The sequence below is a fragment of the Homo sapiens genome, chromosome X (genome assembly GCF_000001405.40).
Source record: "Homo sapiens chromosome X, GRCh38.p14 Primary Assembly".
NCBI lineage: Eukaryota > Metazoa > Chordata > Mammalia > Primates > Hominidae > Homo > Homo sapiens.
Genome location: NC_000023.11, coordinates 24,248,306 through 24,266,621, shown reverse-complemented (window position 1 = coordinate 24,266,621; position 18,316 = coordinate 24,248,306). Strand labels below are relative to the sequence as shown.

The following is an 18,316-nucleotide window of genomic DNA, read 5'->3' as shown; positions in this document are numbered from 1 at the left end:
CTCAGATGATCCACCTGCCTCGGCCTCCAAAGTGTTGGGATTACAAGCATGAGCCATCGTGCCTGGCAAAATATGCCCTTTTTAAAGGCCCATTCTGAGGCGGGTGGTTGACTTACCAAAGTCACTCTGATAGCTATTGGCCAGTCTACAGAACCTTGGTCTCTGATTCGTGGTCCAAAACTACCTTTTAAATTTTTTACAATTGTTCCTTTTGGAAAACAATAGATCTGCAATGCTGCACTTTTCTGAAAGCCACTCTCCTGGCAACCTCAACTCCATGGAATATAACTCTCCCTGGCAGAGGCAAAAGAGGCCTCAGAGCCACTGAAATTACTGTTACAACACTCATGCACGTTGGCCCATGAGAGAAGCCCCCGAGAGATCATTGAACACCCCATTCATTTACTTAACAAATATTTATCGAGCTACTTACCAATGTTTTATTTGTACATAACCCTGGCAAATTTTGTTATCCAGTTTCACTGAAAATAAGGAGTTAGATGAAAGAGGACAGCAAAAGGCAGAGCTATTGATCCAGAATTGTGAGATATTCACTCACAGCAGAGGGAGAGCAAGAACATTGCCATACAATGATGTCTCTGCACCAGGAAGCAGACCATAAAAGACTTCTCATATAGTCTGTGAATGCAGGGTTGGGCAGAGTGCGTTTTAGAAAGTTCATCATTTAAAGGATTAAAATGTATGCCATGAGACTATATATCTCTATAGATATCTATGTCTAATTATATAGAGATAGATACCTATCTCTCTATATAGAGATAGATATCTATATCTCTATATATCTTTATCTCAATGTGTTCTCTCATCGGATAAACTTGGGTTTTGGACGCTAGTATCTATCACCTTAGCCACCTTAAGATAATTCTCGAAACAGAAAAGGGGAGGAAGTGTAACATAAATAAGCTTGCGGTGTGTTTGAAAAGCTGAGTCCATTGGAGGAAACTGAGTCCTGGGATCCAGAAAACAGAGTCTCTTGTGTTTGAAGGGTCAAAGGAGAGAAACTGCCTGATGGATTGGGGCAGTAGTTAGTGGAGAAGACAATCTAAATGTCTTCAGAAAGGGTATGACCTCTGTATTGTGTTTAGGGAATATAGGATGAGCCCTCTGGTGCTGTTGAACTCCCTAGGACTGGAAAAGAGGCAATAGTTGTGAGTTTCACAAAATATGGATACCTGGGCCAACCTGGACCCAGCACTTCTAAGACATCAGGGCACTGGAAGGGACAAACTTGCGTGACTGATGGGACCAGACACAAAGAACTGTGACCTATAGGTTGTGATATGGTTTGGCTCTGTGTCCACACCCAAATCTCATGTCAAATTGTAATCCTCGTGTGTCAAGAGAGGGACCTGGTTGGAGGTGATTGGATCATGGAGGCAGATTTTCCCCATGCTGTTCTCGTGATAGTGAGTTCTCATGAGATCTGATGGTTTACAAGTGTGGTACTTCCCCCATCACTCGCTCGCTCTCCTGCTCTGCCATGGTAAGACGTGCTTGCTTCCCCTTCACCTTCTGCATGACTGTAAGTTTCCTGAGGCCTCCTAGCCATGCTTTTGTACAGCCCACAGAACTGTGAATCAATTAAACCTCTTTTCCTCATAAATTAACCAGTCTCAGGTAGTTCTTTATAGCTGTGTGAGAACAGACTAATACAGGCTGGGTGCAGTGGCTCACACGTGTAATCCCAGCACTTTGGGAGGCTGAGACAGGAGGACTGTTTGAGTCCAGGAGTTTGAGACCAGCCTGGGTAACATAGCGAGACCCCCATCTCTACAAAACAAACAAAAAACTGTGACCTATGGATGCCCATGTGCCATGAGTCGAGTACCCTTGGTTGAACAAATCACAGAGAGAGTGGGGACACACTGGCCTGGGATAGGAGCTGGGTCCAGGGAACTTGATGGTGTGTAATCTGCTTTGTTCCAAGTCTACCGAGGAGGTGGCTTTTGAGGAAAAAAAAAAAATCTGCAGAAAGTGAGGAAGTGAGTCATGCAAATAAACATCTGAGAAAAAGAAATCTAGGTAGCATGAGAAGCAAGTTCAAAGGCCTTGAGGTAGACGTGTGCTGGACACGCTGCTGGAATAGAGTGACTGATGGTTAATAGTGTCAATTTGATTGGATTGAAGGATGCAAAGTGTTGGTCCTCGGTGTGTTTGTGATGGTGTTGCCAAAGGAGATTAACATCTGAGTCAGTGGACTGGGAGAGGCAGACCCGCCCTCAATCTGGGTGGGCACCATCTAATCAGCTGCCAGTGTGGCTAGAATAAAGCAGGTGGGAGAAGATGGAAGAGCAGACTGGCTGAGTCTTCTGGCCTTCATCTTTCTCCCATGCTGGATGCTTCCTGCCCTCAAACATTGGACTCCAAGTTCTTCAGCTTTTGGACTCTTGGATTTAGTGGACTCTTAGACCACTGGTTTGCTGGGGCTCTTGGGCCTTTGGCCACAGACTGAAGGCTACACTGTCAGCTTCCCTACTTTTGAGGTTTTGGGACTCAGACTGGCTTCTTTGCTCCTCAACTTGCAGACTATCATGGGACTTTACCTTGTGATCATGTGAGTCAATACTCCCTAATAAACTCCCTTTCATAGACACATCTATCCTATTAGTTCTGTCCCTCTAGAGAACCCTGACTAATACAGTGACCAAGGGTGAGAGCAATGGAGATTTGAAGTCCAGGGTGCAGAGCATGTGGGACCTTGCAGGTCTTAAGAACAACTCGAGTGTTATTCTGAGAAAATGGAGCAGAGGGATTGAACAAAGGAATAACACTATTTGACTTAGGTTTTAACGAGATTGTTGGCAGCTGTGGTGAGAACAGAGTGCAGGTGGGCAAGGACAGAAGCAAGAAACCGTTTGGGAGGCTATTTGAATAGCCCAGGTGAGAAATGGTGGTGGCTTAGATCTTGGTAGCAGTCAGAGACAGAGGGAAAGGTCAAGGGAAATGGCTGAATTCTGTCGATCATTTGAAAATATAGCCAAGAAGATTTGCTGACAGCCTGGATATGGGTTATGGGAGAAAGGAATCGAGGATGACACTAAGGTTTTTGTCCTGAGCCAGTGCAGCTGAGGTGAGGAAGTTTGCAGGAGTAGCTTGAAGTAGAGCGGAGGGTACACATCCAAGACTCTGATTGGGACAGGCAAGTGGGGTGCCTAACACATGTCCAGATAGAGATGTCTAGTAGACAGTTGGATGTACAGCTCAGGAGGGAGACAGGTTCAGGCTTGAGATATAAACTGGGGAGTTATCGACATATAGATGGCTTTAAAGTCCTGAAACACTAAAGGAGATGACAGAGAGAGTAGATACAAAAGAGGTTTAAGGATTAAACTTAACACTTGGAAGTTGGGAAAATGAAGAGGACCCAGCAAATGGGACAAGAAAGAGTGCCCAAAAAGAGAAACCAAGGGGGACTCCATCTCAAAAAAAAAAAAAAAAAAAAGAAGCCAGGTCGGGCACGGTAGCTCACACCTGTCACTCCAGTGATTTGGGAGGCTGAGATGGGAGGATTGCTTGAGCCTAGGAGTTTGAGACCAGCCTGGGAAACATACCAAGACCCTGTCTCTACAAAAAATTTAAAAATTAGCCAGGCTAGGCCAGGCACAGTGGCTTCTGCCTGTAATCCCAGCACTTTGAGAGGCCAAGGTGGGCAGATCACCGGAGGTCAGGAGTTCAAGACCAGCCTGGCCAACAGGGTGAAACCCCGTCTCTACTAAAAATACAAAAATTAGCCAGGCGTGGTGGCAGGTGCCTGTAATCCCAGCTGCTCTGGAGGCTGAGGCAGGAGAATGGCTTGAACCTGGGAGACAGAGGTTGCAGTGAGCCGAGATCACACCATTGCACTCCAGCCTGGGTGACAGAGTGAGACTCTGTCTCAAAGAAAAAAAAAATTATCCAGGCATGGTAGTGCACACCTGTAGTCCAAGCTACTCTGGAGGCTGAGGCGGGAGGATCACTTGAGCCCAGGTCAAGGTTGCAGTGAGCTATGATAGTGCCACTGCGTTCCAGCCTGGGCAACAGAGTGAGACCCTTTCTCAAAAAGAGAGAGAGAGGAGACAGCTGGGCATGGTGATGCACACCTGGAGTCCCAGCTACTTGGGAGGCTGAGCCAGGAGTTTAAGGCTATAGTGTGCTGTGATGCTTGAGCCTGTGAATAGCCATTGTACTCCAGCCTGGGCAACATAGCGAGACCCTGTCTCTTTAAAATAATAAAAGAAGGCAAAAGAAGTGAGTAGGGTATTGTGGGAGCCAAGGAGTAAAGTATTTCAAGGGGAAAGTGATCAACATGTCAAATGCTGCCACTAAGGACTGAGAAGTGACCATTGGACTTTGCAAATGTTGGAGAGCTTTTGTGACTAGGGCAGTTGCAGTTTGGTAGAGAGATGAGGTCTGATTGGGTAGGTTCATGGGAGAATAGAAGCAGAGAAATTAGAGACAATAAACAGAAGCAACTTTTTTTTTTTTTTTTTTTTTTTTGAGATGGAGTTTCTCTCTCTCTCTCACCCAGGCTGGAGTGCAATGGCACAATCTCGGCTCACTGCAACCTCCGCCTCCTGGGTTCAAGCTATTCTCCCACCTCAGCCTCCTGAGTAGCTGAGATTACAGGCGCCTGCCACCACACCCGGCTAATTTCTGTATTGTTAGTAGAGATGGGGTTTCGCCATGTTGGTCAGGCTGGTCTCAAACTCGTGACCTCGTGATCCACCCGCCTTGGCCCCCCAAAGTGCTGGGATTACAGGCGTGAGCCACCGTGCCTGGGCTTTTTTTTTTTTTTTTTTTTTTTTAAAGGCTGGAGTATTGAGCAGAGCACATACGGGCTGGAGTGCAGTGGCACAATCATAGCTCACTGCAGCCTTGAACTCCTGGGCTCAGGCAATCCTCCCACCTCAGCCTCCCGAGCAGCTAGGACTACAGGCTCACACACCACTATACCCAGGTACATTTTTATTTTTTTTCTAGAGACAGGGTGTCACTGTGTTGCTCAGGCTGGTGGTCTCCAGCTCCTGGCCTCAAGCAATCTTCTTATCTCAGTCTCCTGAGTCACTGGGATTACAGGCATCAGCCACAGGGCCTGGCCCAGAAGCAACTCTTATTAATTAATATCAAAGAAATAGTAGCACGTGTGCTGATGGGAGTGATGCGGTAAATAGGAGAAAACTGGTGATGTGGTAGAGAGGAAAGAATTGCCACAGCCTGTTCTTGAGAGGGGATAGAATCTAGCACTCAGTGGAGAGGCTGCGGTTGGCTAGGAACATAAGTCATTCGTCTTATTGGAGAGGAAGTGGAGTATCACGGGTTCAGATGCAGGGGGAAGGGAAGCTGCTGTGCTGGGAACTTGTGCACATGCTCTTCTAATAATTTCCATTTCCTCAGTGAAGTAGGAAGCAAAGTCAAGCTCAGCTGAGAGAGTGAAAATAGAGGAGGAGAGGTTGAAAGTTTGAGGAGAGAGTTAAAATATCCAGTGCTAAATTTTGCTTGGATTTCTATGCATCGAAAGCAAGCTCTTCAGTAGTTAGAGCACAAGACATACCAAGCCCAGGAGGGAGTTAAAGCAAAGTCCGAAGTACATTGTAAGATCAGTGTTGGCAGAAGGGAGGGAAGAGAGGAGTGCCAAGGACGCCAGGATGCCCGCAGCAAGACAGGAAGTACCCCAAAGTGGACAAAGGGCATACCAGGTAGGGGGCCAGAGATACCAGTAATGGGGGCCCAAGTTAGACCCCACTGTGAGGTCTGTCAGTGCCTCCAGGAAGCGATAGATAAAGGGCATTCCCTCCATTGTGCCTGTTTACTCCCTTCAAATGGAAGATGGGATGTAGAAGGTCAAGTAGGCCAGGAAGAAACATTTGTTTGCAGGGCCCCCCACCTCCAAGTGGCTGCCCCAGCTTCCCCATTAACACAGGGTGTGCTGTGATGATTATGCCTGTGAATAGCCATTATACTCCAGCCTGGGCAACATAGCCAGACCCCATCTCTTTAAAAATAGTAAAAAAAAATGAAAGAGAGAAGGCAAAAGAGGTGAGTGGGATATTGTGGGAGCCAAGGAATAAAGTATTTCAACGGGAAAATGAAAGTATTTCAAGGGAAAAGTGGCCCAGCTCTTCCATTAACACATGGCAATGGAGTGGGTGGCAGGGGGATGCTATAAGGAAGGAGAGAAGGATGATCTTCTGCACTTTAACAAGCTCCCAGTGCGAGAAGACTGTGGTTCTCAAGTGTGATCCCCAACCAGCAGCATCAGTTTCACCTGGGAAATTGTTAGAAACGCACATTATCGGGCCCCACCCCAAACCTGCTGCTATGGTTTGAAGGCATCCCCTCCAAAATTCATGTGGAAAGGGTATCCCCATGGTGGTGGTATTAAGAGATGGGGCCTTTCAGAGGCGTTAAGCCACGAGGGCTCTGCTGTCATGAATGGATCCGTGCCATATAAAAGGGCTGCAGGGAACGGCTTAGGCTTTTTTTGCCCCTCTGCCCTCTACTATGTGAGGGTGATGCTAGGAGAAGACACCATCCATGGAGCAGGCCCTCACCGGACACTAAACCTGTCGGTGATCTTGGACTTCCTTGATCTTGGACTTCCCAGCCTCCAGAACTGTGAGGCAACATTTCTGTTCTTTATAAATAACTCAGCCTCAGGTATTTTGTTATAAATAACTGAGTCTCAGGTATTTGGTTATAGCAGCACTACGAGACTAAGACATCTAGTAACTCAGAAACTCCGAGTGCAGTGAGGCCCAACAAGCTGTGTTTTAACATGATCATTGGTATGTACACCAAAGTTTGAGAAACAGCGCTTGAAGGCAGCCTGCAGCAGTTTCTGTCTGTTCTTATCCAGTACTGCCACCTATTGGGCAAGCTCTTCAGAAGCTCTGAGGTTAATACAAACATTAGGAAAAACAAAAGGGAATTTCCTTTTTCAATATTAAATAACTTTACAAACCAAAAGCAAACCCTTTGCATTATGCAAACACTAATTTTCCATGGTCACAATGAGTGTATTTAGACTCTTCTGTTTCTTTCATAAAACATTTTGTACCTGCTTTCCATGTATTCACCTAGTAAAACATAGAGTTAGTATTTTTGTTATAATATTCCATCAGGATAAAATTACGTAGTCACAGTGACCACACATTTCAAAGTAAACTGGATGCATGGTCTGGCCAAGCATAAACAGGTGAAGACAATGTGACCTGATATTTGGAATTCATACCATCTGTGGAAATCTTAGACGTTTGTTAGATCACAAATTAGTCTGTTGTTCCACGGTTTTATATGCTTGAGCTCTTTCTGGTTTTCAGTAGTTACTATCAATAAGGTAATAAGTACCATGTTACTATAGCTGGGTAGTTGTTTCTTTGGGATTATAATCCCTAAAGTAAAATCTCTAGCCCAAAATGTATAATAACAGACAGCATTATTTTAAATAAGTTAAAAAAAAAAACTAGAAATAACCCAAAGGTGTTTGCAACAACCTTATCACAACATAGTGCCAAGGAATCTTGCCAAGGTTCCTGGCTTCCCAGCATCTTTGGAAGCTTTGTTAGTCCTGCCTCCTTGGTAGAAGCCAGAAAACTTGCTTTCTCGGCTTCCTTTGCAGACAGTTCACACACGACCCAGGGCTCATCCATCAGCCATCTCAAAATCGGACTGATTACAAAGTGAGCAATGTGAAGAAGCAGGAAACACATGGAACCTACTTTCTGGTGAGGGTGGCAACGGCATCCAGAATCCAGAGGTTCTGGAATCCAGTTCTCAGTATCACAGGTGCAAGCTGTGGGTCCACATCCAGTGGTCTTCACTGGACAGCCAGTGATGCGGTTTGAGCAGTACTCCAGGCTGAGTAACATTTAAGTCCAACACTCCGGCCCTCTCAGAGATCTGTGAACTAATTTTCTTTGTTTGTTTGTTTGAGACAGATTCTCATTCTGTTGCCCAGGCTGGAACTCAGTGGCACGAACTCGGCTCACTGCAACCTCCGCCTCCTGGGTCCAAGCGATTCTCCTGCCTCAGCCTCCCGAGTAGCTGGGACTACAGGCACCCGCAACCACGTCTGGCTAATTTTTTGTATTTTTAGTACAGATGGGGTTCCACCATGTTGGCCAGGCTGGTCTCAAACTCCTGACCTCAGGTGATCTGCCCACCTCAGCCTCCCAAAGTGCTGGGCTTACAGGTGTGAGCCACCGCGCCTAGCCCGTGAACTAATCTTCTTTAATAAACTCCCTCTTGGGCCAGGCGCAGTGGCTCATGCCTATAATCCCAGCACTTTGGGAGGCCAAGGTGGGCGGATCATCTGAGGTCAGGAATTTGAGACCAGCCTGGCCAGCATGGTGAAACCCTGTCTCTACTAAAAATACAAAAATTAGCCGGGTGTGGTAACAGGTGCCTGTAATCTCAGCTACTTGGGAGGCTGAGGCGGGAGAATCGCTTGAACCCAGGAGGCGGAGGTTGCAGTGAGCCGAGATCGTGCCACTGCACTCCAGCCTGGGTGACAAGAGCAAAACTCTGTCTCAAAAATAAATAAAAATAAACTCCCTCTCTGCCTGCATGATTGTTCTAGTACTTTTGCTACATTACAAATCAACCTAAAACTTAGTGGATTATGTAGTTTAAGTAGGGTTTCTCGATCTCAGCACAGTTGGCATTTGGGACCAGATAATTCTTTGTCCTGGAGGCTGTCCTGTGTCCCTGCAGGATGTTTAGCAGCACCCCTGGTCTCCACCCACTGGAAGCAAGTACCACCATGCACCCACCTCCAAGTTATGACAATATCTCCAGGCATTGCCACACATCCCGGGGCGGGGTGCAGCGCGGTGCAAAATCTCCCCCAGTTGAGAATTACTGGCTTAAAGCAACATTCAAGTATTGAGGACTGTATTAGCTGGGAGGGTCTGGCTTAGTGTGATTCATGCAGTTGTAGTCAAATGGTAGTTAGAGCTGGACCAGTGGGGGATTGCAGCAGCGGGGGGCTGGCTGGAAATCTTTTTCTTCTCATGTAGCCTCAAGGGCTCTTCCCATGATCTCTCTGTATGAGCTTGTTTGGGCTTTGTCATAGCATAGTGACGTCAGGTTTAACTACTTGTATGGAAGCTCTGGGCTCCAAAGGGGTGTCTCAAAAAACTAGGTAATGCCTCTTAAGACCTAGCCTCAGAAATCACATGTTACCATTTCCACCATAGTCACAAGATTCAAGGGGAGGGAACACAGATGCCACCTCTCCATAGGAAGAATGCTAAAGTTACATTATAAGGTCATGTGGAATGGGAGACATTGTTGAGAATTTCTTTAGGAAAATCTCATCTGTCCCAGTGATCAACGTCACTACTCATCAGGAAAATGCAAATTAAAACCATGAGATACCTCTACAAATCCCCAGAATGGCTAAAAATAAAAAGGCTCATAATACTAGGTATTGGCAAGGATGTGGAGCAACTGGAACTTTCATACATTGCTGATGGGAATATAAATTGGTACAACCACTGTGGAAACATTATTTAACTGTATCTACTAAAGCTAAATACATGCCTGGTCTATGGCCCAACAATCTCTTTCCTAGGTTTGCACCTAAGAGAAATAAATGCATATGTATACCAAAAGACATGAATGAGAATGTTCCTAGAAGTTTTATTCAGCATAACTAAAAACTGGAAAAGAACCAAATGTCTGTCAATAGGAGAAGGAATATGTGATCTATTCATCCAATAGAACATTACACTGCAATACAAAAGGACAACTTATATACACAACAAGGGTGAATCTCCTAACTATATGTTCAGCAAAGGAAGTCAGACACATACGTATGGTGTAATTCCATGTATATAATGTTCAAAAACAGGAAAACTAATCGATGATGATAGAAATCAGAGGAAATGGTTACTTGTAGTGGGAAGAGGGGATTCATACTGGGAAGAGGCACAAAGAACTTCTGGAAGGCTGAGGAGGATCATCTATATTTTGATCCAGGTGGTGATTACACAAGTGTATACACATGTAAAAGTTAAGGTGTATAATGTATTAACTCTCTTTGAGTACTTTATTCCATTCCTCAGTAAAAAGTAGAAATAGGCCGGGCGCAGTGGCTCGTGCCTGTAATCCCAGCACTTTGGGAGGCCGAGGCAGGCGGATCACCTGAGGTCGGGAGTTCAAGACCAGCCTGACCAACATGGAGAAAGCCCATCTCTACTAAAAATACAAAAATTAGCTGGGTGTGGTGGCACATGCCTGTAATCCCAGCTACTCGGGAGGCTGAGGCAGAAGAATCGCTTGAACCTGGGAGGCGGAGGTTGCAGTGAGCCAAAATCGTGCCACTACACTCCAGCCTGGGCAACAAAAGCGAAACTCTGTCTAAAAAAAAAAAAAAAAAAGTAGAAATAAAATTCCTTTGCTGTTTAAAAGTAGTTAGTAGATTCTATCAGTTAAACTAAGACCTTCACCCTTCACGTCAGGAGGATGGTGACCCTTGCTGCTAGGAGGTCCGGGCTCACACTGCAGCCACAGTGTTCCTATGAGGCCTGCCCCTCTGCCAGTTAGGCCCTCTAGATAACCATTTCCACTAGGGATGCACCCAGGAGAATTTTCCTAGGGGAGAGAAGTACACAATCAAGCATTGTAACCATAAAATATTAAAAGCTTAGCAACCAAAAAATGTATCAGTGAATAGCAGATTATACACAGCTGAAAGATAAACCAGGAAGCTGAAGGCTATATTGAGAAATTTTCCCAGAACAGAGCACAGAGATAAAGAGATGAAAAGAATGAAGAAAATTGTAAAGACACATGGAGAAAAGATTCAGTAGTTACAAATTCCTCTAAAAGAATTTCCAGAAGGAGATAATTGAAGCAATATTCAAAAAATAATAGTCAACAAATTCCTGGAACTGCACCAAAACACAAGTCCTTAGATTGAGAGAGACCTCTCTGAATGCTAATCAGGATTTAAAAAAAAAAAAAAAAACATAGACACTGTGGTAAATTTTCAGAACAAGAAGGATGAAGAGCTACCTAAAAGTTACCAGAAGAACAAAAAGACCCCCCAAAAATGAGAACAAGATTAACATGAGATATCCCATCAGCAAAATGGATGCAAATATATTGATCATTGCTGAAGTCAAGGGAGGGATATCTGGGGTCTCATTGTGTTATTCCTTCTACTTTTCTGTAAGATTAAAATTGTTCAGAGTAAAAAGATTTTTTTTGTTTTTTTGGTTTTTTTTATGGATGCAAGAAGATAATAGAGTAATAGTTGCTAAGTGCTGAGGGAGAATATCTTTGGTTTTTGTTGTTTGTTTGTTGGGTTTTTTTTTTGTTTGTTTGTCTGTTTTTGAGATGGAGTTTCGCTCTTGTTGCCCGGACTGGAGTGCAATGGCGCGATCTTGGCTCACTGCAAGCTCCGCCTCCCGGGTTCAAGTGATTCTCCTGCCTCAGTCTCCTGAGTAGCTGGGATTACAGGCACCCGCCACCACACCCAGCTAATTTTTTGTATTTTTAGTAGAGACAGAGTTTCACCGTGTTGGCCAGGCTGGTCTGGAACTCCTGACCTCAGGTGATCCACCTGCCTCAGCCTCCCAAAGGGCACACTCTGCCAGGGAAAATATCTTTGAACTTCAAATTCTATATCTATTAATATTGTCCTTCGAGAATGAGGGCAAAATAAAAACATCCTCAGATTACAAGGACTCAGACATTTGATCATAACAGATGCTCCAAGAGCACTTCAGTAAGAGAAAAATGAAACCAGGCTGGGCACAGTGGCTCACGCCTGTAATTCCTACACTTTAGGAGGCCAAAGCGGGAGGATCGCTTGATCTCAGGAGTTCAAGACCAGCTTGGGCAACATAGTGAGATCCCATTTCTACAAAAAATACAAAAATAAACAGTCAGGAGTGGTGGCACATGCCTGTGATCCCAGCTACTCAGGAGGCTGAGGTGGGAGGATCACTTGAGCCCAAGAGGTTGAGGCTACAATGAGCTGAGATCACACCACTGCACTCCAGTCTGGGTGACAGAGTGAGACTCTTTCTCAAAAAAAAAATAAATTAATTAAAAAATGAAACCAATGAGAAGTGCGAGACTTCCAAACTGGCTGTTCTTTTTCAATATCGTTTTGATTATTCTGAGCCCCTTACATTCCATATGAATTTGAGGATCACCTTTTTTCATATCTGCAAAAAGACCATTAAAATGTAATATGAAATGTATTAAATCTTTTTAAAATTGTGGATATTATTGCCATCTTAACAATATTAAATTTTCCAGTTCATAAATAAAAAAAAAGAAACCAAAAGAAACGGTAGGATGCCAGAAGCAATAGACAACAAAGAAATTAATAAGATACGTGGTAGGTCTAAATTATTGCTTATAAAATTCATAGTCTTTAATACCAAATTGTAACTAAAATTCAAGATATATCAACATGGAAGAGATAGGAGAGGGAGGAAGGGAATTCAACCCTTTTTTTTTTTTTTTTTGAGATGGAGTCTCACTCTGTCGCCCAGGCTGGAGTGCAGTGGCGTGATCTCAGCTCACTGCAGCCTCCGCCTACTGGGTTCAAGCGATCCTTTCACCTCAGCCTCCTGAGTAGCTGGGATTACAGGCACATGCTACCATGCCCAGCTAATTTTTGTATTTTTAGTAGAGACGTGGTTTTGCCATGTTGCCCTGGCTGGTCTCGCACTCCTGGCCTCAAGTGATCCACCTGCCTTGGCCTCCCAAAGTGCTGGGATTATAGGTGTGAGCCACCACACCCAGCTGGAAATAAAAGCTTTCTAAAGGTCTGATTTTGTTCAGGTTGGTTATACTAGAACTAACTGACCCTTAAACTAGTGCTCCTCAAACTTTAATATGTATGCAAATCATCTGCAGAATTTTGTTAAAGAGCAGTTTCTGATTCAGCAAGTCCAGGTGGACCTGAGATTTTGCATTTGAAACGAACCCACAGACCACACATTGAGTAGCAAGACTTTAGACAAAACAGTGGTTCTGTACTGTGTTGATTCAGGGGGAACATATGCTAAGCTTTCTTCACTGTGTTTCAAAAATGTAAGAAATGATGGTGTGTTTCAGAAAATACTCAAGGACATGATTTTTAAAATTCATGGACTGGAAACTTAGTGGAAACCCATAGCAATAAGTGGGAGCTTAACGCATTGGCCCATAGCACCCAGGACCTGACACAAATAGCGAAGTCTGGAATTTCAACTCCAAGGAATAAGGAACCACTGCACACCTATTCACAGGAAAACTGATGCACTGAGCTCATGCTCAACCAGCTATGTCTGAAAAATTCTTACCTAGCTGCTGGAGAGTGCAACTAGAAACAAAGTTCTTGCCTGTGATAGAGTGGAAAAGCAGAGATATTTACACAGCAGGCACCAGGAATACATTTCATGCAAGCTCCCGGTTTGGAATTGTGATATACTCACAGGGCAAGAGCCCAGAGCCACTGAACTTTGTTCTCAGGACACTGGGCTGAAGCAATCATAAAACCATTTTCCAGGGAGAGTGGGAAAGAAAAAAAGCCTCCGTGTAAGATGAGCACTCAAAAAAAAATTACAAAGGCTACAATGAAACCCAACATATAAGAAGATTCACATAAAAGAAAATAGAAGTAATAGAGCAATCTGGAAAGGATTTAAAAATGAGTGCAGTTAAAGTCAACAAACAGGCCGGGCACGGTGGCTCACGCCTGTAATCCCAGCACTTTGGGAAGCCAAGGCAGGCAGATCACCTGAGGTCGGGAGTTTGAGACCAGCCTGACCAACACGGAGAAACCCCATCTCTATTTAAAAAATACAAAATTAGCCGCGCGTGGTGGCGCCTGCCTGCAATCCCAGCTACTCGGGAGGCTGAGGCAGGAGAATGGCTTGAACCTGAGAGGCAGAGGTTGCGGTGAGCCGAGATCATGCCACTGCACTCCAGCCTGGGCAACAAGAGCAAAACTCCGTCTCAAAAATAAAAAAAAAATTAATTAAAAAAAAAAAGCAGATGGTTATGAATCAAGAATAGATGAAACTCAGCCAGGTGCGATGGCTCACGCCTATAATCCCAGCACTTTGGGAGGCTGAGGTGTGCGGATCACTTGAGGCCAGGAGTTCGAGACCAGCCTGGCAAACATGTTAAAACCCCATCTCTACTAAAAATTTAAAAAAAAAAAAAAAAAAAAAAAGCTGGGCATGGTGGCACACACCTGTAGTCCCAGCTACTTGGGAGGCTGAGGCAGGAGAATTGCTTGAACCCAGGAGGCAGAGGTTGCAGTAATCCGAGATTGCAGCACTGCACTCCAGCCTGGGCGACAGAGCAAGACTCTGTCTCAAAAAAAAAATAAAAATAGATGAAACTCTTGGAAACCTTTTTAAAGCCACTGAACTAATTTTTAGATGGTATATCAGTCAGGGTCCAGTTAGGAAAAGAAAAATCTCTCTAGATATTTTCAACAGAGGCATCTTTATAGAAGGAATTTATTACACAGGTGACAGAGGAACTTAGAAGCCAAGAGGGGATGGTGAGACATCCCAGAGATTCAAAACAGGAAAAGAAAAGAAGAAAAGCTGCTACCTCCCCTATGGCTAAAGGGACAGCAGAAGGAGGGTGTATTACCAGAATTAAGCATTTAGAGCTATCTGATTGGGGCTAGAACCACAGCAGGATCTGAGACCATGGAAGGTGCAGCTATCTGGCAGGAGATGGAGACACAGTCTCTTCCAGAGACATTGCTTAAAGCCGAGACAGAGGGAGAGAAATACCCTAGTTTCACTCTTATCTCTCCCTCAAGTCATCTGCCAATACTTCCCACAGGCCAAACTTACACAAAAAAGACCATGGGGTATATAGTTCCCTGCAACACAGCACAGGGTAGAGGAGGATGGGGAATGAATCTGGGGACAAAGTAACAAGTGCCCAGCATAATGAGATAAACAAGAGAATGGACACAAAGAGTGAGTTTGTGATTTAGAAGGCTGAGCTGAGGAAGTCATCCAGAGTCAGTGATAAAGAGATGAAAAATATGAAAAAGTAGTTCAGAGCTAGGGGGATAGATTGAAAAGCACCAAAACATATTTAATATAAGTTCCAGAGAGAGACAGAAACTAGAATCAGGAGGTAGCAATATTTAAGGTGATGATGTCTGAGAATTTTCCAGAACCAAAGAAAGACAGCGTCCCTAGATTTAAAAAGCTATTTCTGGGAAAGATGGGCTGTACTATTTATACCAACCATCCCATTGAAAACAAATATGTGATATAACATTTTATTTTTTAATTTTTTTTTCTTTTCATGCTGTTTTAAGGACTTTATAAAATTGTAAATCTTTTTTTTTTCTTTTAAGAGATGGGAGTCTCACTATGTTGCCTAAGCTGGTCTCGAACTCCGTGGCCTCAAGCAATCCTCCTGCCTCAGGCTCCTGAGTAGGCAGGAATACAGATGCGCACCACTGCACTTGGCTTAAAATTTTAAATCTTAAGAACATTAAAAAGCTAATGAAAAAGTAAGTAAATTCCAGGCTAAGCTCCAAGAAAAAAGCAGAAGCCTATAGAAAGATAATTTTAAAGCACAAAACCATGCTTACCCCAAGGTGGTATGCTAATAAGAAACACTTGTGCTTCAATTTTAGTGGATTAATGAGACAATTTGGACATAAAACAATGCCAGGGCCTGCCCAAGGTAGAGAAAATAACAGGAGGCCTTTTACAGGCTAAGCTGGGATTGCACTGGCTTAGCGATATTTGGAGCAGGAAGAAAAGGAAAAGGAAAAAAATCTTGTGCCCATGAAGCTGGCTTTTGCGTGAATTTGCAGCACAAGTTCAGTGTCTGGGTAGTTCAGAGAAATTACAATTGTATCCTCATCTAAAATGGTCCCAGATGAGGAGTAATCCAAGAAGAAAAAGTAAATGCAAAATCTTTTTGAGAAAAGCAGCTTCATCTTGGGCTTCAGTGAATCTCCAGAATAATTTTTCAAGTACAGCAACCAGTATAAAGTAAAAAATATTGGCTTACACCTGTACATGCTTTGGGAAGCTGAAGCAGGAGGCTCCCTTGAGCCCCAGGAGTTGGAGACCAGCTTGGACGACATAACAAGACCTCGTCTCTACAAAACACAAAATTAGCCAGGCAGGTGGTGGTGCATAACTGTGGTCCCAGATACTCGGGAGACTGAGGCAGGAGGATTGCTTGAGCCCAGGAGTTGGAGGCTACCATGAGCTACGATCATGCCACCACACTCCAGCCTGGGTAACAGAGCAAGACCCTGTCTCTATTAAAAAAAAAAAAATTAATAATAAACAGGAGAACAAGGCACCAGGAGTGGGAGCCAGTTGAAACAACTGACTACAGAAACAGACATACCAAAACTTCAGAGAGAGACTAATTTTTTTTTTTTTTTTTAAGATGGAGTCTCACTCTCTTGCCCGGGCTGGAGTGCAGTGGCACAGTCTTGGCTCACTGTAATCTCCGTCTCCCGGGTTCCAGCGATTCTCCCACCTCAGCCTCCAGAGTAGCTGGGATTACAGGCGTGTGCCAACACGCCCCACTGATTTTTGTATTTTTAGTAGAGACGGGGCTTCACCATGTTGGCCAGGCTGGTCTTGAACTCCTGACCTCAGGTGATCCATCTGCCTCGGCCTCCCAAAGTGTGGGATTACAGGCATGAGCCACCGTGCCCGGCCGAGACCAATTTTTTAAATGCTTACTTTATTTAAAGAATAAAAGACATGATTTAAAATATCTGCAAGAAGAAACAACTCTAAACAGTGATCCTTCTTGGTTTCTAATACCATATTCTCCAGTGAAAGGAACCAGGGGCTTGGCGTGGTGGCTCATGCTTGTAATCCCAGCACTTTGGGAGCCCGGGGCAGGCGGATCACAAGGTCAAGAGGTTGAGACCATCCTGGCCAACATGGTGAAACCCTGTCTCTACTAAAAATACAAAAATTAGCTGGGCGTGGTAGCATGCACCTGTAGTCTCAGCTACTCGGGAGGCTGAGGCGGGAGAATCACTTGAACTGGGGAGGCAGAGGTTGCAGTGAGCCAAGATTGCACCACAGCACTCCAGCCTGGGTGACAAAGCAAGACTCCATCTCAAAAAAAAAAAAAAAAAAGGGAACCCAGGGTTCCTTGGAGAAATTGTTGATTCTAGGACTGGGGCGGGGAAAATACAAAATGAGCCTGGAGCATCTTGAAGGGCCAGAGATAATGAAGTGCTCAAACAACAAAATGATGGGGCTGTGTCAAAGGGACACAGGAAGCACCTGAGGGGAGCTAGCAATGGCCAAAGCTGGAACAATTTGGACAGGGGAAATAAAATGAAGAATGTAGTACTGAATTATAATCTGAAGCATACAAGAAATATCCGGCGGGGTGCAGTGGCTCATGTCTGTAATCCCAGCACTTTGGGAGGCCAAGGTGGGCAGATCACCTGAGATTAGGAGTTCAAGACCAGCCTGACCAACATGGTGAAACCCCATCTCTACTAAAAATATAAAAAATAGCCGGGTGTGGTGGCGCATGCCTGTAATCTCAGCTATCCGGGAGGCTGAGGCAGGAGAATCGCTTGAATTGGGGAGGTGGAGGTTGCAGTGAGCTGAGATGGTGCCACTGCACTCTAGCCTGGGTGACAGAGACTCTGTCAAAAAAAAAAAAAAATCCATGACTCAACAGTAATATAAACAATTGAAAAAATTAATAAATGAAATGAGGCAGAATGGACAGTCTCCTATATGGAAGAATTCTACATGATTTATGTAGCTACGCACTCCCCAGGGAGGTAAAACTTAACTCCCCACACCTTAAGTACAGGCTGTGCTTAGAGTTTTACTTCCAATGAAGACAGTATTAAAAGACTGGGGTGGAAAATAACAGCAGAGAAACCTCACGAGCACCATCTTGGCCAGGTGATCAAGGTTAATGTAATCTGTGACAAGTCACATTGATAGCATGTGTCCTTGATGGTGATGTGATGAGGGCCCATCACCTCTGCAGCCTCCTTCCTAAAAACCTGTAACCTTAGTCTAACCATGAGAAAAATATCAGACAAGCTTAATTTGAGGAATAGTCTGCAAAATACATGACCAGCGCTCCTCAAAACGGTCAAGGTCACCAAAAACAGGTGAAGTGTAAGGAACCGTCGCAGTCCAGAGGAGGCTAAGAAGATGTGATGACTATACATAACATATCTGGGAGGGATCCTGGAACGCAGAAAAGACGTTGCGGGAAGCTAATGAAATATGAATAAAGTCAGGAATTTAATAATATCAGTATTGGCTTATTAGTTGCAACAAATGTACCATAATGTAAGATGTTAACAATA

General features: G+C 44.3%; 2 annotated features.

Moving 5' to 3' along the window:
- Nucleotides 12,981–13,050: a silencer, noted in NCBI's record as "silent region_20718". NCBI's record gives its function as "represses an Ori minimal core promoter by ATAC-STARR-seq in GM12878 lymphoblastoid cells {active_cell/tissue: GM12878}" and the evidence as "EXISTENCE:reporter gene assay evidence [ECO:0000049][PMID:35858748]".
- Nucleotides 18,267–18,316: an enhancer, noted in NCBI's record as "active region_29504". NCBI's record gives its function as "activates an Ori minimal core promoter by ATAC-STARR-seq in GM12878 lymphoblastoid cells {active_cell/tissue: GM12878}" and the evidence as "EXISTENCE:reporter gene assay evidence [ECO:0000049][PMID:35858748]".